This window comes from Homo sapiens, chromosome 18 (genome assembly GCF_000001405.40).
Source record: "Homo sapiens chromosome 18, GRCh38.p14 Primary Assembly".
Classification (NCBI taxonomy): Eukaryota; Metazoa; Chordata; class Mammalia; order Primates; family Hominidae; genus Homo; species Homo sapiens.
In genome coordinates, this window is record NC_000018.10 from 45,798,271 (window position 1) to 45,824,311 (window position 26,041).

At 40.3% G+C, this 26,041-nt stretch overlaps 1 protein-coding gene across 5 annotated transcripts in view, besides 1 other annotated feature; it reads right to left on the reverse strand.

The window, feature by feature from the left end:
• Positions 1 to 2,310: 2,310 nt before the first annotated feature.
• EPG5 (ectopic P-granules 5 autophagy tethering factor) overlaps positions 2,311 to 26,041 on the reverse strand; it is a 166,749-nt gene continuing 143,018 nt past the window's right edge. For all 5 annotated transcript variants that reach the window (XM_047437710.1, XM_047437706.1, NM_001410858.1 and 2 more), the window contains one exon: positions 2,311 to 2,620. In XM_047437710.1, the coding sequence (XP_047293666.1) occupies positions 2,543 to 2,620 (78 nt within the window). In that variant the 3' untranslated portion in view covers positions 2,311 to 2,542. The remainder of the gene's footprint in view (positions 2,621 to 26,041) is intronic.
• Positions 7,950 to 8,451: an enhancer, noted in NCBI's record as "H3K27ac hESC enhancer chr18:43386185-43386686 (GRCh37/hg19 assembly coordinates)". NCBI's record gives its function as "activates a minimal SCP1, AML or CMV promoter by ChIP-STARR-seq in naive H9 embryonic stem cells {active_cell/tissue: H9 hESC(naive)}" and the evidence as "EXISTENCE:reporter gene assay evidence [ECO:0000049][PMID:30033119]".

Genomic DNA, 26,041 nt, shown 5'->3' on the forward strand with positions numbered 1-26,041 from the left:
AATCTCTCAGCATTTGCTTGTCTGTAAAGTATTTTATTTCTCCTTCACTTATGAAGCTTAATTTGGCTGGATATGAAATTCTGGGTTGAAAATTCTTTTCTTTAAGAATGTTGAATATTGGCCCCCACTCTCTTCTGGCTTGTAGAGTTTCTGCCGAGAGATCAGCTGTTAGTCTGATGGGCTTCCCTTTGTGAGTAACCTAACCTTTCTCTCTGGCTGCCCTTAACATTTTTTCCTTCATTTCAACTTTGGTGAATCTGACAATTATGTGTCTTGGAATTGCTCTTCTCGAGGAGTATTTTTGTGGCATTCTCTGTATTTCCTGCATTTGAATGTTGGCCTGCCTTGCTAGATTGGGGAAGTTCTCCTGGATAATATCCTGCAGAGTGTTTTCCAATTTGGTTCCATTCTCCCCGTCACTTTCAGGTACACCAATCAGATGTAGATTTGGTCTTTTCACATAGTCCCATATTTCTTGGAAGCTTTGTTCGTTACTTTTTATTCTTTTTTCTCTAAACTTCTCTTCTCACTTCATTTCATTCATTTTGTCTTCCATCACTGGTACCCTTTCTTCCAGTTGATCACATCGGCTACTGAGGCTTGTGCATTCGTCACGTAGTTCTCGTGCCGTGGTTTTCAGCTCCATCAGGTCCTTTAAGGACTTCTCTGCATTGGTTATTCTAGTTAGCCATTTGTCTAATTTTTTTTCAAGCGTTTTAACTTCTTTGCCATTGGTTCGAACTTCCTCCTTTAGCTCAGAGTAGTTTGATCTTCTGAAGCCTTCTCCTCTCAACTCGTCAAAGTCATTCTCCATCCAGCTTTGTTCCGTTGCTGGTGAGGAGCTGCGTTCCTTTGGAGGAGGAGAGGCACTCTGATTTTTAGTTTCTGGTTTTTCTGCTCTGTTTTTTTCCCATCTTTGTGGTTTTATCTACCTTTGGTCTTTGATGATGGTGACGTACAGATGGGTTTTTGGTGTGGATGTCCTTTCTGTTTGTTAATTTTCCTTCTAACAGTCAGGACCCTCAGCTGCAGGTCTGTTGGAGTTTGCTGGACGTCCACTCCAGACCCTGTTTGCCTGGGTATCAGCAGCGGTGGCTGCAGAACAGCAGATATTGGAGAACCGCAAATGCTGCTGCCTGATCCTTCCTCTGGAAGTTTTGTCTCAGAGGTGCACCCAGTCATGTGAAGTGTCAGTCCGCCCCTACTGGGGGGTGCCTCCCAGTTAGGCTACTCAGGGGTCAGGGACCCACTTGAGGAGGCAGTCTGCCTGTTCTCAGATCTCAAGCTGCGTGCTGGGAGAACGACTACTCTCTTCAAAGCTGTCAGACAGGGACATTTAAGTCTGCAGAGGTTACTGCTGACTTTTGTTTGTATGTGCCCTGCCCCCAGAGGTGCAGCCTGCAGAGTCAGGCAGGCCTCCTTGAGCTGTGTTGGGCTCCACCCAGTTCGAGTTTCCCGGCCGCTTTGTTCACCTACTCAAGCCTCAGCAATGGCGGGTGACCCTCAGCCAGGCTCACTGCTGCCTTGCAGTTTGATCTCAGACTGCTGTGCTAGCAATGAGCGAGGCTCCGTGGGCATAGGACCCTCCAAGCCATGTGCGGGATATCATCTCCTGGTGTGCCATTTGTTAAGCCCGTTGGAAAAGCACAGTATTAGGGTGGGAGTGACCCGATTTTCCAGGTGCCATCTGTCACCCCTTTCTTTGACTAGGAAAGGGAATTCCCTGACCCCTTGCGCTTCCCAGGTGAGGTGATGCCTCGCCCTGCTTCGGCTCATGCATGGTGTGCTGCACCCACTGTCCACCCACTGTCCAGCACTCCCCAGTGAGATGAACCCGGTACCTCAGTTGGAAATGCAGAAATCACCCGTCTTCTGCATCGCTTACACTGGGAGCTGTAGACTGGAGCTGCTGCTATTCGGCCATCTTGGCTCCACCTCCACAGAGTTTTAATGTCATGGGAAAATTCTATTGACATGGAGTTAAGTTTTTAAAGCAGTATAAATAGGATAGCTGAACGTGTGGTGCATACCTGTAATCTCAGCTACTCAGGAGCCTGAGGCAGGAGGACCCTGGAGTTCAAGACCAGCCTTGGCAACACAGTAAGACCCTCTCTCACAAAAATAAAAAAAAAAATAGTATACACTATTTTATCTCAGGTATAAAAGAAAAAAATAGATGAAAAATACAGTGGGTAGTAACTTCATAGACAGTTTTCATCAACCTCTTTATCATTTTCTCAGATTTCTACAATGGGCATGCAGCACCATGATGGCTGGGGAGGAAAAAACTAAAAATCAAAAAGTCAAAAATTAAAACAAAAGCTGGTTTTATTGATCGATAACTGCACATTTTTGGTTGGAGGTGCCAGCTCTTGACGAATTTGCAGCCCTCTCACTCTCGATATTGGAGCTTCTTCCTCCTGTGCTGTCTTCTCTGCCTGGGGAAATTTGTGTCCCTCAGCTAGGCCACCCAGGGGAATCACATGATGATCCTGAACATTCCATCCCATCAGGCTGTGCACAGGACTGGCTGCATCTGAGATCAAACGATGTTCAAAGAAAGTTCAGACTCCAGCACTCCAGTTAGGGCAAGCCTCTTAAAAGGTGAGCGTCTTGATACCTGTTTGGAAGGAGGGAACACTGGTTGCAGGAAATTCAGGTGAGCATTTTTGAAAGAGGTGGTGTATAGACTCCAAAGCATCTTCCTCCTACTTTCTTAAATTTTTTTGTTTTGTGTGTTTGGGTTTTTGTGTTTTGAATGGGGGGTTGTTTTTCGGTTTTTTTGAGATGGAGTCTCGCTTTGTCACCCAGGCTGGAGTGCAGTGGTACGATCTCAGCTCACTGCAACCTCTGCCTCCTGGGTTCAAGCAGTTCTCCTGCCTTAGCCTCCCAAGTAGCTGGGATTACAGGTGCGTGCTACCACACCTGGCTAATTTTTGTATTTTTAGTAGAGACAAGGTTCACTACGTTGGCCAGGCTGTTCTTGAACTCCTGACCTCAAGTGATCTGCCCACTTCAGCCTCCCAAAGTGCTAGGATTACAGGCGTGAGCCACCACATCCGGCCCTGTGTGTTTGTTTTTTGAGACAGGGTCTCACTATGTTGTCCAGGCTGGTCTCGAACTCCTGAGCTCAAGCAATCCTCCTCCCTTGGCCTTCCCAGTAATTGGCTTTTAAACATTTGATGGAGGGTGCTGGTGAGCAAAACTTGACAGTTATGAAACAGGAAACCAGCAGGAAAAGGACCTGCCCAAACTTGGAGGAGAAGGTAGTGCCAGGGAAGAAGGGATGGCACTGAGCTTAGTGTGCAACCCAGAATTTGTGACAATTGCACAACACACCCTCTTGTCATTCCTGTCAGTTTTATTCATTCCCCTCCCTCCCTTCCATTCCTTTCCCAGTCTTTAATCCCCCTGTTCCTTCCCTTCTCCTACTCCCTTAATCACTTACAGTCCCACTCCCAGGAGGAAGGGGTACAGGAAACTGCATTTCTCCTCCTGAAGGTCACTGTGTGCAGCTGAAGCCACTTAGTCCACAGGAAGGAAGGCCAGCTGGTAGGAGTTCAGATGGCAGTTACAGCCACCAGGGGACAGCTTTGGCATCCACCCCCTTCAGGGCTCTCCTGAGAGGGAGGAGCAGTGCCCACCCTAGGGAGGGCTGAGCTTTATCACACTCTCTGAGGGCTCTCTGGGTCCTGCCTCATCAGCTCTGATGGCGGAAGGGTTGACAGGGGGCAGCAAGGATGGTTTTGTCCTGTGGCACCTCACCCTGCAGTGTCCACTCCCTCCTACCCCCAGCTCTTCCTGCCTTGCCTCCTGTTCCCTGTGATCCTCCCTTGGTGGAGTGCTGATGTGATGGAGTGGCCCTTCCTTGGAGACTCCCCACAACAATCCAAGTCCCCAACACTCTCCAGTCAGGGAAGACTGAAGCTACAACAAGTACTGGCACTGATCTTTATGACTCTGGTTCAGGCTAGGCATGGTGGCTCACGTCTGTAATCCTAGCACTTTGGGAGGCCGAGGCAGGTGGATCATTTGAGGTCAGGAGTTCAAGACCAGCCTGGCCAACATGGCAAAACCCCATCTCTAATAAAATACAAAAATTAGCCGGGCATGATGGCATGCACCTGTTGTCCCAGCTATTCAGGTGGCTGAGGCAGGAGATTCTCCTGAACCTGGGAGGTAGAGATTGCAGTGAGCTGAGACCACACCACTGCACTCCAGCCTGGGCGACAGAGCAAGACTCCATTTCAAAAACAAAAAACAAAAAAAAAAGTCTCTGGTCCTTTCCAGCTACATCCAAACTTCCAACCCCACCCCAGTGCCCAGAGAAGGGAGGAGGTGGGGACTAAGCCCAACAGGGCCCACTTGTGCCCAATACCTTTCCCCACACTGTCCTACTGCCTCTCCTCACCTTCTGCCCCACCCTCACTCTGCATGACTGAATGACTTAATTCAAATTGCATTTATTTGCTCATTTCTAATCACATCCTAGGATCTCATGCTCTCTTGATGGTAAATAAAAGTGAACAGAAAATGTCTTCTAATGACCTGGTAAATCAAGTTTATACCTTTCCCAAATCAGGGTCAATTTGCTCTAAATCTAGTCAAGTCAGAACCCAGCATTAGTAGGTGGCCTGACCACATGGCCCCTTCCCCCAGTCTCTTAAGGCATAGTGAGTCACTCACAGAGGCCAGCTTAGCCCTTCATGAGTCAGTATCTCCTGTTTATGTACAGAGTCATTACTTTCTCTATAGGAAAAAAAGGAGGTGGTGGTGGAGGTGCTTGTCTATAGATGGACTGGGCATTGTAATTTGAAAAGCATTGAGAAAAGTCCCTATCTCCAAAGACATTATCAGCCTTACATAATATCTGAAAACCTATCATTTGAGACATTTCTCAGAGCAATGATCCTTTATAAAATATGGGATGAGGCCAGAAGAGCCATTTTACTATGTGACAGTCAGTACAACTCAGTGGCTAGGAATCAGGATCTGGATCGAGTTCCACTTCTGGTATGGCTGAGTAAACGCTTACTGTACTGAGCTTCCTGCCAATAACAACTATAAACTCAGGGGTTGGGAGAGGACAAAATCTATCTGAAGGCCCTGGAGAGTATACAACAGCAAGCAGGCTCCAGGGGGAAGTTAACACTTGGAAGAAAGGGTTAGTAGGAGGTTATTCTCCTGTTTTTACCACTTTTGGCCTGATGGTCAGCTGCAGTCACTGTCCTGAGGGGCAGCTAAAACTGAGAAGAAACTCACCATCTTTCTGGCCTGAAGAACTGGCAGACAGAGTTTGAGGGCAACCCCAGCTGCTAGAAAGTGAGGGAGAATCCTCAAAGGGAGAGAGCCAGAGAAAGAAAATCCCAAATTCCATGTATAAAGTCTGCCCCAATTTTTGCCTGACCCCCAAACACCCATGTACAGCAGAGATTGTAAGCACCCTATCTAAGGGTGAAAGAACAAAAAGCAGATATGAGGGGCCACTCAGAAAAAAACAGAATTTGCAGTTTGAACCATAACAAGTTAATTTCTCATTAAAATGAAAAATTCAAAACTCTTTGAAAGAATACAACTGAATCCAGTCTCCACAATATGACATTCACAATATCCAGAGTACAATCCAAAATTTCTTGACATATTGAGAGACAGGAAGATGTGATGTATTCTCAAGAGTAAATATAATAGGCAAAAGTCAAGCTCAAGATGACACAGATATTGAAATTAATAGAAATTTATTTTAAAATGGCAATTCTTACTATACTAAATGACATAAGGAAAAATGTGCTTATAATGATTAAAACATAGTTAGTATCATCACCTAAATAGAGACGCCTAAAATTATAATCAAATGGAAATTCTATAACTAAAAAATACAGTATCTAATTTTAAAAAATTAACTGGATGGGGCTTAACATAATTTTTTAAAACAGATGAAAGAGTAGGTGAATCTAAAGAGAGATCAACAGAAAATATCCAATCTGAAAGACAGAGATAAAAATGATAGTACCTAAAGGGTGGTATTGAAAGGTCTAACATACCTACAATTGAACTCCTAGAAGAACAGAGGACATGGGGTAGAAAAAAATTATTTGAATAAATAATGGCCAAAAAGTCCCCAAATTTGGCAAAAGACATAAATTTACAAATCTAAGAAGCTCAGCAAATCCCAATCAAGTTAAATAAAAGAAAAACATGCCTGGGCACATTAGAGTCAAATGAATGGCAAAGTGTCAAAAGCATGCAGAGAAAAACAGCACATTACACAGAGGAGAATAATGAGTCAAATGACTGTTGATTTCTTATATCAGAAGCAATGGAGGCCAACACAGTGAACCAACATTCTCAAAGCACTAAAAGCAATATCTATCAAATATGAAGCAGAATAAAGACTTTCCAAATAAAAGAAAACTAAGAGAATTTATCACTAGCAGACCTTTATTATAAGAAATGCTAAAGAAAGTTCTTTATCTGAAGATAAATGATATCAAATGAAAATATGGATCTTTAGACATGAAGAACATCAAAACTAGCAAATAGAAAAAACTGCTTTTCCAGCCTAATTCCTTTCCAATATATATCACTATTCAAGGCAAAAATTATGACCTTGCATTGTAGGATGCATAATGTATATAAATGTCATATGGTAATCATAACACAAAGGAATGCTGGGGGCAGGTATAAGAGGACCTATACGATTGCAAGGTTTGCATATTTTATGCAAAGTGGGACAATGTAAACTCAAATCAGATTATAAAAAGTTAAGAATGTATATCGTGATTCTTAGAGCGGACATTGGGTAAAAACTACAATAATATATAGAAAAAACATTAATATGTAAATTAAACTGGAATTCTAAAACATGTCCAAATAATAATTTCTAAAAGGCACTAAATGCAATATGGTACCCTAGATTGGCTCCTGAAACAGGAAAAAGGGGTTATTTGTGAAGAAACAAAGAAATCTGAATAAAGTCTGGCACTTAATTAATAGTAGTGTACTAATGTTAGTTTCTTAGTTGTGATGAATGTACTGTGATAATGTAAGATGTTAACTTCAGCAGAAACTGGGTGAGAGGTATACAGGAACTCTCTGTACTATTTTTGCAACTTTTATGTAAATCTAAAATTTAAACAAAATAAAGAGCTTCTGTAAAAAAAAAAAAAAAGACAAGAAAGAAGTAACAGAAGAACAAAAATCAGAGGGGCAAAAAAGAAAACAAATAAAATGGTGTATCAAAATATAATCAGAATAATATTAAATGTTAATAGGCAAAAATTTCCAATTAGCTAAAAAAAAAGAAATAGCAGAGCTTGTTGTAATGGCTTAAAAACAAAAGTAAGATTTAAAGATATGCTGTGAATGGGACCCACTTTGAATATAATTATACAGATAGAGTGAAAGTAAATAGATGCAAAAGTATATGCAATGCCATGCCAGAAAAAGCCAGATCATTCAACACAGAAGTATTACCAAAGATTAGGAGGGATATTTCACAATGATTAAAATGTCATTGGGAAAACATAACAGTCTTGTATGTGCATGTGCCTAACAACAGCACTTTAAAATATATAAAACAAAAATTGATAGAGCTAAAGGAAGAAATAGACAATTCTACAACCATAGATTTTTGTAGAGTTTTGAAGATTTTAGCATCCTTCTCTCAGCATTTGATAGAAAAATTAAGATAAAAATTCAGGAAACATAGATGATCTGAATAATGCTACCAACTACCTTTTTTATTTATAAAATGGAAATAAACTCACTGTTTGAAATTGGTATAAAGATTAAACAAGCAAATAGTTTAGCCCAGTCTGGGCACACTGTAAATCCACTATACTTACTGGTTATTATTAGCGACTTATCTGGGAGGGGAAAATTTATCAGCTCAATAGTATCCCATTGCCAGGGATTAATTTGCCAAATTAGCTAGTTTGGGGGTAGTGAAAAGCAGATACTTCAAGAGCTGAATATAAAGGAAAACTATTTTTACCATAAATTAATATATTCAGATAACAGAAAAATGAAAACAGTGTAAAAGAATATAAAGATAAGGGGATCATGGTGGGCGGGAGGCAGGACTAGATTGCAGTTCTGACTCAGACGCACAGAGCAGCATGTGGAGGCTTGCATCATGAATTTTTGCTCCAGAATGACTGCAGGAATAAATCAGGAAACCTCACAGGACCCACAGACCCTCTGAAGGAAGCAGATTGCCTGGGAGACACAACAAATACTGTGAGTGCCCAAACTGTACAAGTGGGAAAGGGACATTGTCTGCCCCTGAACACACCTCCCCACCCCCACACCCCAACTGGGGAAACTGAAGGTCTAGAATACAGGAGAAGACTAATACAGGAGAAGACTCTGACCTTACCTGAAGCCGAGTCAATTTAGAGAGCCTAGCAAAATACAGGGGCAGAGGAAGCAATGAGGAAAGACTTGTGAGCTCGCTGGGTCCCCTAGCAAACCATTTCTGCCTGGCCTCACGGGATCCTTCAGAAGGGCAGCCAGAGGCACTGGGAAAAGGCCACAGAGAGAAGGACATCTTCAGCTGAACTTTGAAACAATTTGAACTGGTGGAGAACTCTCCTGGTCAGAACTCAGGGGAGGGCATGAATCTGGTGTGCAGACTCCACAGGCAGGGGAAGAAGGAAAGACATACTTGCTACTGCAGCTGGGAGGCAGGTATCGTGCGGCAAGTTCTCAGCCCTGCTCGCCCATTGCCTGGAAACAGACTCAGTGCTATTGGCAGGCGGGGGGCAGGGGGCACAGTGAAAGTGAGACCAGCCCTTCGGATTATGTGGGAGCTGGGTGAGACCTGTAACTGCTGGCTTTCCTGCACTGCTCTGACAACCTGCATGACACAGTAAAGACATCTATAATCCTTGTAGGAACATAGCTCCATTGACCTGGGAGCCTCATCTCCATCCCCCACAGCAGATGCAGCAAGACCTGCCCAAGGAGAGTCTGTGCTTAGACATGCCTAGCCCTGCCCCCACACAATGGTCCTTCCCTATCCACCCTGGTAATTGAAGACAAAGGGCATATACTCTTGGGAGTTCTAGGGCCCTGCCCACCACCTGTTCTTCCCCATACTACTGCAGCTGATGCTCTCTGGAAAGCGCCACCTCCTGGCAGGAGGCCAACCAGCACAAAAATACTACATTAAACCACCAAAGCTAAGAACCCTCACAGAGTCCATTTCACCTCCCTGCCACCTCCACTAGAACAGGTGCTGGTATCCACAGCTGAGAGACCCACAGACGGTTCACATCACAGGACTCTGTGCAGAAAACTCCCAATACCAGACCAGAGCCTGGTAGACTTACTGGGTGGCAAGGTCCTAAAGAGAGAAAACAATCACTACAGCTCGGCTCTCAGGAAGCCACATCCATAGGAAAAGGGAGAGAGTTCTACATCAAGGGAACACCCTGTGGGACAAAAAAAATCTGAACAACAGACTTCAGCCGTAGACCTTCCCTCTGACAGAACCTACCCAAATGAGAAGGAACCAGAAAACCAACTCTGGTAATATGGCAAAACAAGGTTAATACCTCCAAAAGAATCACACTAGCTCATCAGCAATGGATTCAAACCAAGAAGAAATCCCTGATTTACCTGAAAAAGAATTCAGGAGGTTAGTTATTAAGCTAATTAAGGAGGCACTAGAGAAAGGCAAAGCCCAACGTAAGGAAATCAAAAAAATGATACAAGAAGTGAAGGGAGAAATAGTCAATGAAATAGATAACAAAAATAAAAAACAATAGAAACTTCAGGAAACAATGGACACACTTATAGAAATGCAAAATGCTCTGGAAAGTCTCAGCAATAGAATCGAACAAGTAGAAGAAAGAAATTCAGAGCTTGAAGACAAGGTCTTCAAATTAACCCAGTCTAACAAAGACAAAGAAAAAAGATAAGAAAATATGAACAAAGCCTCCAAGCAGTCTGGGATTCTATTAAATGACCAAACCTAGAATAATCAGTGTTCCTGAGGAAGAACAGACATTTGAAAGTTTGGAAAACCTATTTGGGGGAATAATCAAGGAAAACTTCCCCAGACTTGCTAGAGATCTAGACATCCAAATACAAGAAACACAAAAAACACCTGGGAAATTCATCACAAAAAGATCATACCTATGCACGTTGTCAACAGGTTATGTAAAGTTAAGACAAAGGAAAGAATCTTAAGAGCTGTGAGATAAAGGCACTAGGTAACCTATAAAGGAAAACCTATCAGATTAACAGCAGATTTCTCAGTGGAAATCCTACACGCTAGAAGGGATTGGGGGCCTATCTTCAGCCTCCTCAAACAAAACAATTATCAACCAACAATTTTGTATCCAGTGAAACCAAGCTTCATATACAAAGAAAAGATAGTCTTTTTCAAACAAATACTGAGAGAATTTGCCATTACCAAGCCACCACTACAAGAACTGCTAAAAGAAGTTCTAAACCTTGAAACAAATCTTGGAAACACATCAAAACATATTTTGATATTTAAAGCATAAATATCACAGGACCTATAAAACAAAAATACAATTAAAAAATAAAAACAAAAAAACAAGGTATACAGGCAACAAATAGCCGATGAATGGAATGCTACCTGATATGTCAATACTAACATTGAGTGTAAATGGCCTAAATATTCCACTTAAAAGACACAGAATTGCAGAGTAGATAAGAATTCACCAACCACTATCTGCTGCCTTCAGGAGGCTCACCTAACACATAAGGACTCACATAAACTTAAGGTAAAGGGGTGGAAAAAGACATTTCATGCAAATTGACACCAAAAGTGAGCAGGAGTAGCTATTCAAACAAACTTTAAAGTGACAGCAGTTTAAAAAGACAGAAGGACATTATTTAATGATAAAAGGCCTTGTCCAACAGGAAAATATCACAATCCTAAATATATATGCATCTAACACTGGAGCTCCCAAATTTATAAAACAATTACTAGACCTAAAAAGTGAGATAGACAGCAACACAATAATAGTGGGGGACTTCAATACTACACTAACAGGATTAGAGAGGTCATCAAGGCAGAAAGGCAACAAAAAAAATTGAATTAAACTATACCCTAGAACAAATGGAATTAACAGATATATACAGAACATTCCATCTAACAACTGCAGACTATACATTCTATTCAACAGCACATGGAACCTTCTCCAAGATAGACCATATGATAGGCCACAAAATGAGCCTCAATAAAGTTAAGAAAATGGAAATCATATCAAGCACTCTCTCAGACCACAGTGGAATAAAACTGGAAATCAACTCCAAAAGGAACCTTCAAAACCATGCAAATACATGGAAATTAAATAACCTGTTCCTGAATGATCATTGGGTCAGAAGTGAAATCAAGATGAAAATTAAAAAGTTCTTTGAACTAAACGACAATAGTGACACAACCTATCAAAACCTCTGGGATACAGCAAAGGCGGTGCTAAGAGGAAAGTTCATAGCCCTAAATGCCCACATCAAAAGGTCTGAAAGAGCACAAACAGATAATCTAAGTTCACACCTCGAAGAACTAGAGAAACAAGAACAAACCAAACCCAAACCCAACAGAAGAAAAGAAATAACCAAGATTAGAGCAGAACCAAATGAAATTGAAACAAAAAAATACATAAGATAAATGAAACAAAAGCCTGGTTCTTTAAAAAGATAAATAAAATTAATAGACTACTAGCAAAGTTAACCAAGAAAAGGAGAAAATCCAAATAAGCTCAATAAGAAATGAAATGGGAGATATTATAACTGAAACCACAGAAATACAAAAGATCATTCAAGGATACTATGAACATCTTTATGTGCATAAACTAGAAAACCTAGAAGAGATGGATAAATTCTTAGAAAGATACAACTCTCCTAGCTTAAATCAGGAAGAATTAAACACCCTGCACAGACCAATATCAAGCAGTGAGATTGAGATGGTAATTTAAAAATTACCAACAAAAAAAGGCCAGGACCAGACGGATTCACAGCAGAATTCTACCAGACATTCAAAAAAGAATTGGTACCAATCCTATTGACACTATTCCACAAGATGGAGAAAGAAGGAACCCTTCCTAAATCATTCTATGAAGCCAGCATCATCCTAACACCACAACCAGGAAAGGACAAAACCAAAAAAGAAAACTACAGACCAATATCCCCAATGAACATGGATGCTAAAATCTTTAACAAAATACTAGCTAACCAAAGCCAACAACATATCAAAAAGATAATCCGGCCGGGCTCAGTAGCTCATGCTTGTAATCCCAGCACTTTGGGAGACCCAGGTGGGTGGATCACCCAAGGCTAGCCTGGCTAACATGGCAAAACCCTGTCTCTACTAAAAATACAAAAATTAGCCAGGCATTGTGGCGCACACCTGTAATCCCAGCTACTCAGGAAGCTGAGACAGGAGAATCACTTGAACCTGGGAGGCGGAGGTTGCAGTGAGCCGAAATAGTGCCACTGCACCCTAGCCTAGGTGACAGAGTGGGACTCTGTCTAACAACAACAAAAAAAAAGATAATACTCCATGATCCATGATCAAGTGGATTTCATAGCAGGGATGTAGGGATGGTTTAACATATGCAAGTCAATAAATGTGATACAACACATAAACAGAATTAAAAACAAAAATCACATAATCATCTCAATAGATGCAGAAAAAGCGTTTGACAAAATCCAGTATCCCTTTATAATTAAAACTCTCAGCAATATTGGCATACAAGAGACATACCTCAATGTAATAAAGGCCATCTATGACAAGCCCACAGCCAATATAATACTGAATGGGAAAAAGTTGAAAGCATTCCCTCTGAGAACTGAAACAAGATAAGGACGCCCACTCTCACCACTCCTCTTCAACATATTACTGGAAGTCCTAGCCAGAGCAGTCAGACAAGAGAAAGAAATAAAGGGCATCCAAATCAGTAAGGAGGAAGTCAAACTGTCACTTTGCTGATGATATGATTGTTTACCTAGAAAACCCTAACAATTCCTCTAGAAAGCTCCTAGAACTGATAAAAGAATTCAGCAGTTTCAAATTCTACCAGAGGTACAAGGAGGAGGTGGTACCATTCCTTCTGAAACTATTCCAATCAATAGAGAAAGAGGGAATCCTCCCTAACTCATTTTATGAGGCCAGCATCGTCCTGATGCCAAAGCCTGACAGAGACACACACACACAAAAAAGAGAATTTTAGACCAATATCCCTGATGAACATTGATGCAAAAATCCTCAATAAAATACTGGCAAACCGAATCCAGCAGCACATCAAAAAGCTTATCCACCATGATCAAGTGGACTTCATCCCTGAGATACAAGGCTGGTTCAGCATACGCAAATCAATAAACATAATCCAGCATATAAACAGAACCAAAGACAAAAACCACATGATTATCTCAATAGATGCAGAAAAGGCCTTTGACAAAATTCAACAACACTTCATGCTAAAAACTCTCAATAAATTGGGTATTGATGTGATGTATCTCAAAATAATAAGAGCTATTTATGACAAACCCACAGCCAATATCATACTGAGTGGGCAAAAACTGGAAGCATTCCCTTTGAAAACTGGCACAAGACAGGGATGCCCTCTCTCACCACTCCTATTCAACATAGTGTTGGAAGTTCTGGCCAGGGCAATCAGGCAGGAGAAAGAAATAAAGGGTATTCAATTAGGAAAAGAGGAAGTCAAATTGTCCCTGTTTGCAGATGACATGATTGTATATCTAGAAAACCCCATCGTCTCAGCCCAAAATCTCCTTAAGCTGATAAGAAACTTCAGCAAAGTCTCAGGATACAAAATCGATCTGCAAAAATCACAAGCATTCTTATACACCAATAACAGACAAACAGAGAGCCAAATCATGAGTGAACTCCCATTTGCCATTGCTTCACAGAGAATAAAATACCTAGGAATCCAACTTATAAGGGATATGAAGGACCTCTTCAAGGAGAACTACAAACCACTGCTCAACAAAACAAAAGAGGACACAAACAAATGGAAGAACATTCCATGCTCATGGGTAGGAAGAATCAATATCGTGAAAATGGCCACACTGTCCAAGGTAATTTACAGATTCAATGCCATCCCCATCAAGCTACCAATGACTTTCTTCACAGAATTGGAAAAAACTACTTTAAAGTTCATATGGAACCAAAAAAAGGGCCCTCATTGCCAAGTCAATCCTAAGCCAAAAGAACAAAGCTGGAGGCATCACACTACCTGACTTCAAACTATACTACAAGGCTACAGTAACCAAAACAGCTTGGTACTGGTACCAAAACAGAGATATAGACCAATGGAACAGAACAGGGCCCTCAGAAATAATGTCGCATATCTACAACTGTCTGATCTTTGACAAACCTGACAAAAACAAGCAATGGGGAAAGGATTCCCTATTTAATAAATGGTGATGGGAAAACCGGCTAGCCATATGTAGAAAGCTGAAACTGGATCCCTTCCTTACACCTTATGCAAAAATTAATTCAAGATGGATTAAAGACATAAAAGTTAGACCTAAAACCATAAAAACCCTAAAAGAAAACCTAGGCAATACCATTCAGGACATAGGCATGGGCAAGGACTTCATGTCTAAAACACCAAAAGCAATGGCAACAAAAGCCAAAATTGACAAGTGGGATCTGATTAAACTAAAGAGCTTCTGCACAGCAAAAGAAACTACCATTAGAGTGAACAGGCAACCCACAGAATGGGAGAAAATTTTTGCAATCTACTCATCTGACAAAGGGCTAATATACAGAATCTACAATGAACTCAAACAAATTTACAAGAAAAAAACAACCCCATCAAAAAGTGAGCAAAGGATATGAACAGACACGTCTCAAAAGAAGACATTTATGCAGCCTAAAGACACATGAAAAAATGCTCATCATGACTGGCCATCAAAGAAATGCAAATCAAAACCACAATGAGATACCATCTCACACCAGTTAGAATGGCAATCATTAAAAAGTCAGGAAACAACAGGTGCTGGAGAGGATGTGGAGAAATAGGAACACTTTTACACTGTTGGTGGGACTGTAAACTAGTTCAACCCTTGTGGAAGTCAGTGTGGCGATTTCTCAAGGATCTAGAGCTAGAAACACCATTTGACCCAGCCATCCCATTACTGGGTATATACCCAAATGATTATAAATCATGCTGCTATAAAGACACATGCACACGTATGTTTATTGCAGCACTATTCACAATAGCAAAGACTTGGAACCAACCCAAATGTCCAGCAATGACAGACTGGATTAAGAAAATGTAGCACATATACACCATGGAATACTATGCAGCCATAAAAAGGATGAGTTCAGGTCCTTTGTAGGGACGTGGATAAAGGTGGAAACCATCATTCTCAGCAAACTCTCACAAGGACAAAAAACCAAACACTGCATGTTCTCACTGATAGGTGGGAATTGAACAATGAGAACACCTGGACACAGGAAGGGGAACATCACACACTGGGGCCTGTCATGGGGTGGGTGGAGGGGGAGGGATAGCATTAGGAGATATACCTAATATAAATGACGAGTTAATGGGTGCAGCACACCAACATGGCGCACGTATACATATGTAACAAACCTGCACATTGTGCTGATGTACCCTAGAACTTAAAGTATAATAATTTAAAAAATTAAAAAAATAAAATTATCCAATAAAATTTAGAAATTTGAAAAAAAATCATCAATATATGTTAAAACTAGGGAGTAAAAATTTGAAATGGGAGAGGTTATCTACATATTCTCTGAGTATCTCCCCACAGATTACTTAATAACTGTAAAGGGAGAAATTATAATTATAAACCAAAGGAACCTGGAAGACATCACCTTAACCAAATAATCAAAATCAACATCACCAATAACAAGCCAGACAGATACCATGTGTTTCCTGATGCGAGGCACTGAAAAGGACACAACATCACTTTTATGGTATTCCAGAGGGGACAGGTAACATACACTAATCATGAGGAAGGACGAGACAAACCCAGTTGAAGGGCATTCTGCAAGACAACTAGCTTGTACTCTTCCAAAATGTTAATTCATGAGAGATAAAGGCTCGAGAAATGTTCTAGATTAAAGAAGACTAAAGAGACTACATAACTAAATGCAACATGGGATCAATTTGATCCTGGATTGGATCTTGAGATAAGAAGTAAAAATTCCTCTAAAGAACACCATGGGACAGTTGGCAGATTTTGTATATGGAATGCAAATTATGTAATAATGCATACATGTTAAATTCTGTAAATTTGATAACTATACAGTTATTATGTAAGAGAAAGTTAGAACCTGAAATATTTAGGGATAAAGAGAAAAGTGCATGATATCTGTGACTCATCAAAGAATCATAAAGTGTTAGAGGTTGAAGGGTCCCTAGAGAGTCAGTAGGCCAAACCCTACTTTCTTGAAATGATGTGACCAAAATCCTGAGAAATTGAATTATCTGCCTAAGACCACACATCCAGCCAGGAGTTGAGCCCAAGACTCTCTGGCCAGGTGTTTACAGTGAGTGCATGATATTGGTTGTTCTTGTTCATCATGGGTCAATGCTCAAATACATTGTTATCCATTAACTACAAGCCAATATACACCCCCACAGCTTTGACCCAGCTTCTGCTAATGCAAAGGTCCCTGACTTCTGGTGGGCTTACATCAGAGGACAATGACCCTGGGAACTGATTTATTTTCACCCTTCTCAGTGCTGACCATGGCCTCAGAGGTGAGTGCTCTCAGGAGAGCCCTCTGCTGTGTGCTGTAGTGGAAAGGGCTGGAGCTTACAGTTGGGTAGACCTGCTAGATGAGATCTGTTACTAGCTGTGTGACTTCAGGCACAGCTACCATTTATTTCATCTGACACTCAGTTTTCTCATCAGTAAAAATGGAGACAACATGCATATTTACGGGACTAAATGAGATCATCTATGTGATATATGCCCACCCAACAGTAAGTCTTAGTAATTGCTCATTGTTTTCTTCTTTCTTTTGGTCCAAAAGTATTTATGACTATGAATGGAGCTGGGTGGAGGGCTTGGAGAACTCACTACAAGTTATTTAAACTTTTTTCTCATTAGAAGAATATTACCAAAGTGATATGCACCTTATAGAAAAATAAAAAGACAAAAATATTTGAAAAAAAAAAGAATTCAGCAGTTTCCAGATACAAAATTAATGTACACAAATTAGTAGCTCTTCTATACATCAACAGCAACCAAGCAGAGAATCAAATCAAGAACTCAACCCTTTCACAATGGTTGCAAAAAATAAAATAAAATACTTACGAATCTACCTAACCAAGGAGGTGAAAGACCTCTACAAGGAAAACTACAAAACATTGCTGAAAGAAACCATAGATGACACAAACAAATGGAAACACATCCCATGCTCATGCATGGATACAATCAATATTGTGAAAATGACCATACTGCCAAAAGCAATCTACAAATTCAACACAATTCACAACGATACTACCATCATTCTTCACAGAATTAGAAAAAGCAATTCTGAAATTCATATAGAACCAAAAAAGAGCCCGCATAGCCAAAGCAAGACTAAGCAAAAAGAACAAATCTAGAAGCATCACATTACCTGATTTCAAACTATACTATAAGGCCATAGTCACAAAAACAGCATAGTGCTAGCACAAAAATAGGCACATAGACTAATGGAACAGAATAGACAACCCAGAAATAAAGCCAAATACTTACAGCCACCTGATCCCTGACAAAGCAAACAAAAACATAAAGTGGAGAAAGCACACCCTTTTCAACAAATGGTGCTGGGATAACTGGCTAGCCATGTGCAGGAGAACGAAACTGGATCCTCATCTCTCACCTTACACAAAAATCAACTCAAGATGGATTAAGGACTTAAACCTAAGACTTGAAACTATACAAATTCTAGAAGATACCATTGGAAAAACTCGTCTAGACATTGGCTTAGGCAAGAATTTCATGACCAAGAACCCAAAAGTAAATGCAATAAAAAGATAAATAGCTTGGACTTAATTAAACTAAAGAGTTTCAGCAAAAGGTATCGTCAGCAGAGTAAACAGTCAACCCACAGAGAGAGAAAATCTTCACAATCTATACATCTGACAAAGGACTAATATCCCGAATCTACAATAAACTCAAACAAATCAGCAAGAAAAAAACAAACAATCCCATCAAAAAGTGGGCTAGGGACATAAATAGACAATTCTCAAAAGAAGATATACAAATGGCCAAAAAACATGAAAAAATGCTCAACATCACTAATGATCAGGGAAATGCAAATCAAAACCATAATGCGATACCACTTACATAATGCAGGAATGGCCATAATAAAAAAATAGTAGATGTTAGCGTGGATGCGGCGAAGAGGGAACACTTCCACGCTGCAGTTGGGAATGTAAGTACAGCCACTACGGAAAACAGTGTGGTGATTCCTTAAAGAACTAAAAGTAGAACAACCAATTGAGCTAGCAATCCCACTACTGGGTGTCTACTCAGAGGAAAAGAAGTCATTATACAAAAAAGATACTTGCACACGCATGTTTATAGCAGCACAATTCTTAATTACAAAAACGTGGAACCAATCCAAATGCCCATCAATCAATGAGTGGATAAAGAAACTGTGGTATATATGTGGTGGAATACTACTCAGCCATAAAAAAGGAATGAATTAATGGCATTCACAGCAACCTGGATGAGACTGGAGACTATTATTCTAAGTGAAGTAACTCGGGAATGGAAAACCAAACACCTTATGTTCTCACTCATAAGTGGGAGCTAAGCTAAGAGGATGCAAAGGCTTAATAACTACACAATGAATTTTGGAGACTCAGGGGGAATGCGTGGGAAGTGGGTGAGGGATAAAAGGCTACAAATAGGATGCATTGTATACTTCTCAGGTGATGGGTGCACCAAAATCTCACAAATCACCACTAAAGAACCTACTCATGTAACCAAACACCACCTGTTCCCCAATAACCTATGGGAATAAAAAATTGTTTTAAAAGAATGAAAGAATATAAAAATAAAAATGTCTCTCTTTCCTTTTTTAGAAAAATTTCAAAAAAGTTTCTTTCCTTTCTTTTCTCTACCACCACTTCTACTTCTATATTAGTTATTTACTGCTAATTACAAGGACACCAAAACTTAATGGCTTAAATCAACAAACATTTATTTTATAATTCTGTGAGTGAGGAATTCATGAGCAACTTAGCTGAGTGGCTGGGCCCAGGGTATCTCATGAGGTTGCAGCTAAGATGTCAGCATCTTCAGGGCTGCAATCATCTGAAGGCATGACTGAAGCTGGAGGATCTGCTTCCAAGTTGTTTTATTCATCTGACTATTGGCAGGTGGTCTCAGGCCCTCACTGCTATTGGTGAGAAGGCTCAGTTCTTTAGCACATGGGCCTCTCCACAGTGCTGCTTGAGAGTCCTCATGACATGTCAGCTGGCTTCCTCCAGAGTAACAAAAGAGAGAGCAACAAGGAAGCCACATTGACGTTTATGATATATTTCAGAAGTTACACACTGTCATTTCTGCCATATTCTATTCATTAGAGGTGAGTCAATAAGGCCAGTCCACAGGAGAATAAAGTTCCATCTTTTGAAGGAAAGAAGGAAGGAGTATACTTGTGTACAAAAACTTAAACTATCACACCTCCCCAGAGACAATAACCTTTCATTGTTTCTTCTGAGTCTTTCTAGAAAGTATGTATGCATACACAAGCTTATAGCCCCTTTTTCTGTTAACATAAGTAAAATCACACTATATAGACTATTCTATACCTTATTTTTTCCATTCAATATTATCTTGAGAATCTTCCTAAATCAGCACATACATATATGTTCTAATCTTTTTAATAGATTCAAATTATCTAACTATATGGGTATTTAAATACTTGACCAGTCCCTGCTAATGATAATACATGTTGTTTACAGTTGTCTATTATAGCAAAACAATACTGTAAGGAAGATTTTATTTTTTTTTTTTGTTTTCCTTTATTTTGGAAGATTTTAATATGCATATTTTTGCCAACTTCTGTGAGAACATCTACAGAATCAAGTCCTTGGAGTAGAATTGCTGGATAAGGGGATACACACATTTGCAACCTTGATTGATTATGCCTAATTGTTTCTAAAGAGATGACTGGTTGATACATTCACCTGTATTGCTAAGAGTCCCTTTCCCTACTCTTGTCAGGTTTTCATCTATCTTTAAAATGTTTGCCAGTCTGATAGGTGAAACAGGTATTTCATCATCCATTGAATTTGCAATTCTTTAGTTACCATTAAGTACATTTATCAGCCATTTTTATTACTTTTCTGTGAACTATCCTGTATTGTGTGAGTGTGTAAAACAAAAGAAACTAGTCCTTATCTACCATACATGCTGCAAATGTTTTCCCCCACTTCGTCATTTGCCTTTTGACTTTAATTGGGGTTTTTTTGCATAACTTTTTTTTTTTTTTTTTTTGCGATGGAGTCTTGCTCTGTCACTCAGGCTGGAGTGCAGTGGCGTGATCTCGGCTCTCTGCAACCTCTGCCTCCTGGGTTCAAGCGATTCTTGTGCCTCTGCCTCCCGAATAATTTGGGTTACAGGCACCCTGCACCACACCCAGCTAATTTTCATATTTTTAGTAGGGATGGGGTTTCACCATGTTGGCCAGGCTGGTTTCGAAATGCTGACCACAAATGATCCACCCGCCTTGGCATCCCAAAGTGTTGAGATTACAGGCGTGAGCCACCGTGCCTGGCCTAAACTTTTAAATAGTCAAGTTTTAAAGCAAAATTTTTAAGAGGTCAAATTTATCAAAACCTTATGGTTTCTGGGATTTTTTCCCCAAACTTAGAAATATCTCCATTTCATGACTCATTTAAATATCACCTATGTTTTCTTCTTGCATGTTTATGGTTTCAATTTTTACCTTTAATTAATTGCTCATCTGGAATATGGATTAAGAATTGAGAAGAATATGTAGCTTTGTTTTTATTCAAATAGTTTTCCCAGTACCAATTATTAAATAATCCACTTCTTTCCAATAATTTGAAATATCTTATGCTATGTTTCCCTCTGCTTGGCAGGCTATTTATAAACTCTCTTTGTTTCATTGATCTGAAGCGTCCCTTTAAGGGAAATTGTTGAAGTACTGAGAGGAGGAAAAAAGTTCAGCAGCTGAGAAGTTCAAGGCCAGAAAGGAAACACAGCTGGGGAGTGAGAAGAAGTTGGGGTGAGGATTTAGGGAGCACTGAGAATGCAGAAAATATATAGATATCTAAATTATATAATTGTATTTTAAAAAGCAATTGTGTTGCTTCTCAAAACAACTAAACCAACAATGAAGACTTGCCCAGGTCCTCAGAGGATGCACATTAATTAATAGAAGATAGGTGTGTTAATTAGTTCACCAATTGTTTCTAAAATGCTTGAATCAGCCTCTCACAGGTATCTATTTTCCACTATTATCTTCTGTCTAACTCTTGAACTCACGTTGTTTTTTCTGAAATATGTTGTTTTCAGGATGAATCTGAATTGATGTGTATTCCATACAGGTGGGATCCAAAATAAAAAGATCATGCTGCATTTTCCTGATGATTAGTTGAAGACACTGTGAGCCAGGCACTAGGCATCACCCCTTTTTATATCACTCCGTCTTTCTTGTAGCAATACCATAAGGAGGCCATCATCATCCTCATTTTGCACAGGAAATAAAATATGTATTTGCCCAAAGTCATCCTGTTGTTAGTGAGAAAGCTGGGACCCAGTTTCACCCCCATCTGGTGCAGAAACTGTGCTCTTGCCAGGACACAATATGGCCTTTCCCATGTGATGGATAGGGTAGAGGGAAAAAACAGCATGGGAAGCTGAAAATAACCGGGTTTTCCAGAGAAGAGAAGGCATGGAGAAGAATGACTATCTCCATCCAGAATGAGCAAGAGGGCATGGCCTCATGGACTCTGATAGAGAATGACTTAGAAAACCCCAAGCATTCTGTCCTTCTTCCCAATCTAAGTGTGATATAAGCTGGTGTTACACTGACCTCACTCAAGTTCCCCATGTCATGTATTAGGAAATGTTCTGCTCTCTGGCAGCCTCTAGGCAGAAACCTGATTTGACCTCCCTGGCTTCCTAACCACCCAAGCCTTGTAGCTGGCCCTGGTTCTGGGGCCCACTGAATTGGAGCATCACCTTACCTGGCTGGGGGCAGGCATGGAGTTGGCAGGTGCTGAGGAATGAGAAATTCAGTTCAGCCTGGATCCCTGCACCCTCCTGGAGGGTTCCCGCAGGCTTCTTCTGCCATTCCTCCTTGCTGCTACATGACCACCTGCTGCTGCTGAGATTGACACCTCTGTTCCACGGACCTGAGCCAGCTGGGGGTTCATCTTCATCAAATCAAACCTGCTTACAAGTGGCAGGTGGCTGAGAGAGGCCCTTAAGCTCCCCAGAAACAATCCTGGTTTCATGTTCCAACCCTTCCTTACCTTTTCCCCAACACTCACACAAGATTGTCGCATACCCTTGTGCAGGTTATATACCACATGATGTCATGGGGAATATAAATCACAATGGCTTCTGATTCACATATTCTTACCTGTTTGAGAATTTGTTTGGGAAAGACTCATTACCAAGTCCCTAAACAGTAGTCCCCCAGGACAACGTACATGAGGTATATGAGAGTCAAGAAAAGAACCAATGAAAACCAGGGATCATCTGATAAAGTTCAGAGACTGCTTCCACAGTATTTCACTGTATACATTTGTCAAGTGCAGATAAATAATTTCTACTCTGTTCACTTCCCAGAAATATTATAAGGGTAGGATAGACTCACGGATGTGAAAATACATTGCAAAGTAAAAAGCATCAAGGAATGAGAGCGGTTTTCTTGTTGATGACTATCAGCTAAGCAGTATCTATGGAGAATGGACTTTATGTTCTCTGAGAACCTGTAAACATGTGTTTCCTGTGCTCTCTGAAGCACTGTGAGAAATCCATGCATGCACTATAAAGCAGCAATGTGGGGCAGTGCCAAGGATATCTAAAACAAACTAACTTTATCTTACTTATGCAAAGTTGCTATATGTGGAATTATTTTAAAATCAGTAAGATTAGGAATCAAATTAATGAATGAATATATACTAATTTATCACAAGGTGCCTAAGACAAAAAAGAGAAGGCATTTTATATGAGAATATCTAACCTAAATATAAAACCCGAAGCTATAAAACACTAGAAGGAAACATAGGGGAAACATTTCAAGACATACATCTGGGGAAAGATTTGATGAGTAAGACCTCAAAAACACAGGCAACAAAAGCAAAAATAAGCAAGCGAAATTATATCAAGCTAAAACCTTCTGCATAGCAATGGAAGTAATCAGCAGAATGAAAGGACAACCTGCAGAATGGGAGTAAATATTTGCAAACTATTCATCCTCTGCAAGGGGTTAATATACAAAATATATAAGGAACTCAAGCATCTCAACAGCAACAAAACAAACAATGCAATTAACAATGGGCAAATGATCTGAACAGATATTTCTCAAAGGAAGACATACAAATGGCCAACAGGTATATGAACAAATGCTTGACGTCACTAATCATGAGGGAAATGCAAATCAAAACCACAATGAGATATCACCTCACCCTTGTTAGAATAGCTATTACCAAAGGGACAAAAAAATTACATATAGTGAAGCCACTATAGAGAACAATATGGAGGTTCCTCAAAAACTACAAATAGAACTACTATATGATTCAGCAATCCCAGTAGGGGGCATTTATCCAAAGAAAAGAAACTCAGTATATGAAAAAGACATCTTCATTCCCATGTTTCTGGCAGCACTATTCACAGACCCAAGATATAGAATCAACCTGGGTGTCCACCATCAGATGAATGGAGAAAGAATATGTGGTATACACAATGGAATATTATTCAGCCATAAAAAAGAATGAAATCCTGTCATTCGTGGCAACATAGATAGACCTGGAGGACATTAAGTGAAATAAGTCAGAAACAAAAAGTTAAATACTGCATATTCTCACTCGTATGCAGAAGATTAAAAAAAGTTGATCTCATAGAAGTAAAAAGTAGAACAGAGGATACCAGAATTTGGGAAGGGTAGGGAAAGGAGAGGATAGGGAGAGATTTGTTAAAAGATACAAAATTATAACTAGATAGAAGGAATAAATTCTAGTGTTCTATAGCACTGTAGGATGACTATAGTTAACAAAAATATGATCATATAGTTTCAAATAGCTAGAAGAAGGATATTGAATTTTCCCAAAACAAAGAAATTATAAATGTTTAAGATGATGGATATGCTAATAGCCTTGATGTGGTCACTAGACATTGTATATATCAAAAAATCACTATGTACCCCATAAATATGAACAAATATGTGTTGATTAAAATGCTTTTAATCAAAAACAATTAAAAATTGAAGATTTTTAAAAGAATATCTATTAAATATATCTCTCCTTGAAGAACTTATAATCCAATCAGAGAAAACAGGTTAGCCCAAGAAACAACTGGAAAATAAATCAAGACAGAATATAATCAGGCTGCAAGTGGGGTATACTTTCACTGATGCATTCATGCCTTCCGGGACTATTTATTAGGTACCCTGTATGGTTTGGCCCTGTGCTTGGTGAGGGAGACGTAAAGTCACAGCCACATCCCCAAGTTCCCTAAAGTCTAGAGGAAAGATAGACAAAAATATCAAAGATCCTAGGTCAAGGGATATACCTAGGGGTAGAGGTTGCACAGAGAACTGTGGAAAAACACACAGGTAGGCAGCCAAATGAGACTGGGCTGCCAAGGAAGACTTCCTAGGAGAGGTGACCATGGGAATGAGTTTTGAACAACAAGCTAGGAGTTACTGAGATTCAATGGGGTGGGAGTGGTGGTACTCCAGGCAGAAGGAACAGTATGGAAGGTGGATGGGAGGTGCTTTAACAACAAATTTAGGAATTTGAGCTTGGTCCTGAGGTTTTAAGGAAACTCTGGAGACACCTGAGATGAGGGTGAGGGGTGCATGATCATATTTTCACTTTAGAAGGTTCACTCTGACAGCCACAGTGTGGAGGTAGTATTGGAAGATCTAAGAGGCAACTTGAGCTTTCCTAGAAGAATTGAGACCCCTTGTCCCTAAATTACCTCTCTCACCAGTTCAATGACACTTGGCATTCCATCGGTAAAGCTGTATTTCCTTAACCCTAATATGCAACTGTGAACCCTTGACCACTGCATCACCCTGCAAGAATGGAGTCATACTCCCGGCAACCCTCGGCCATTTACACTGAGTGTTAGCAAGTTTCAAGTATCTTCCTGAGGATATTATTTTATTTTGTTCTTTTATTATTTTTTTATTCATCTAATTGATTTATCTAACTGCTAGTCTGCACAAAGTCCTGTGATACAGACCAGAAACATGGTTCTCTCCTCCATAATTATAGCCCAGGAAAAGGAGGGTAGGAAGGAAAGGCGATGGAACAGACCAGCAAACAAACGATGACAACACAGCACAGCACGTGCGAGGAAGGAGGTCTGCACACAGGGAGCAAATGCCCCTGCATTCTTTCAAATACCTCTCCAGCACCTATGGGATGCCAAGTGGCGCTCTAGGTGGTAAGAATCACATGGCAACTAGTGCTGAGCACCTGAACCTTATATCTGGGGGAGGAGAGGAATGATAAACAAGAAAATAAATAAGTACATAATGTAATTGCAGGCAGAGATGATACTGAGGACTGAGGGTTAAGAAGGAGCTGACCCAGAGGATGAAAATGGGTTGGGAAGACCACAGGTGCAAAGATGGCTTGGGAACTGTGGTTGGGTGGGGGCAGGTGAAGGAGGGGAGGCACAGACAGTAGACCAGCCTCTGGGCTGGGTCCTGAACCTGAAGGGCCTCCTGTGTCGATCTCCAGTTGGAACTTTTTTATTTTTTTTTGAGACGGAGTCTCGCTCTGTCGCCCAGGCTGGAGGGCAGTGGCACAATCTTGGCTCACTGCAAGCTCCGCCTCCTGGCTTCACACCA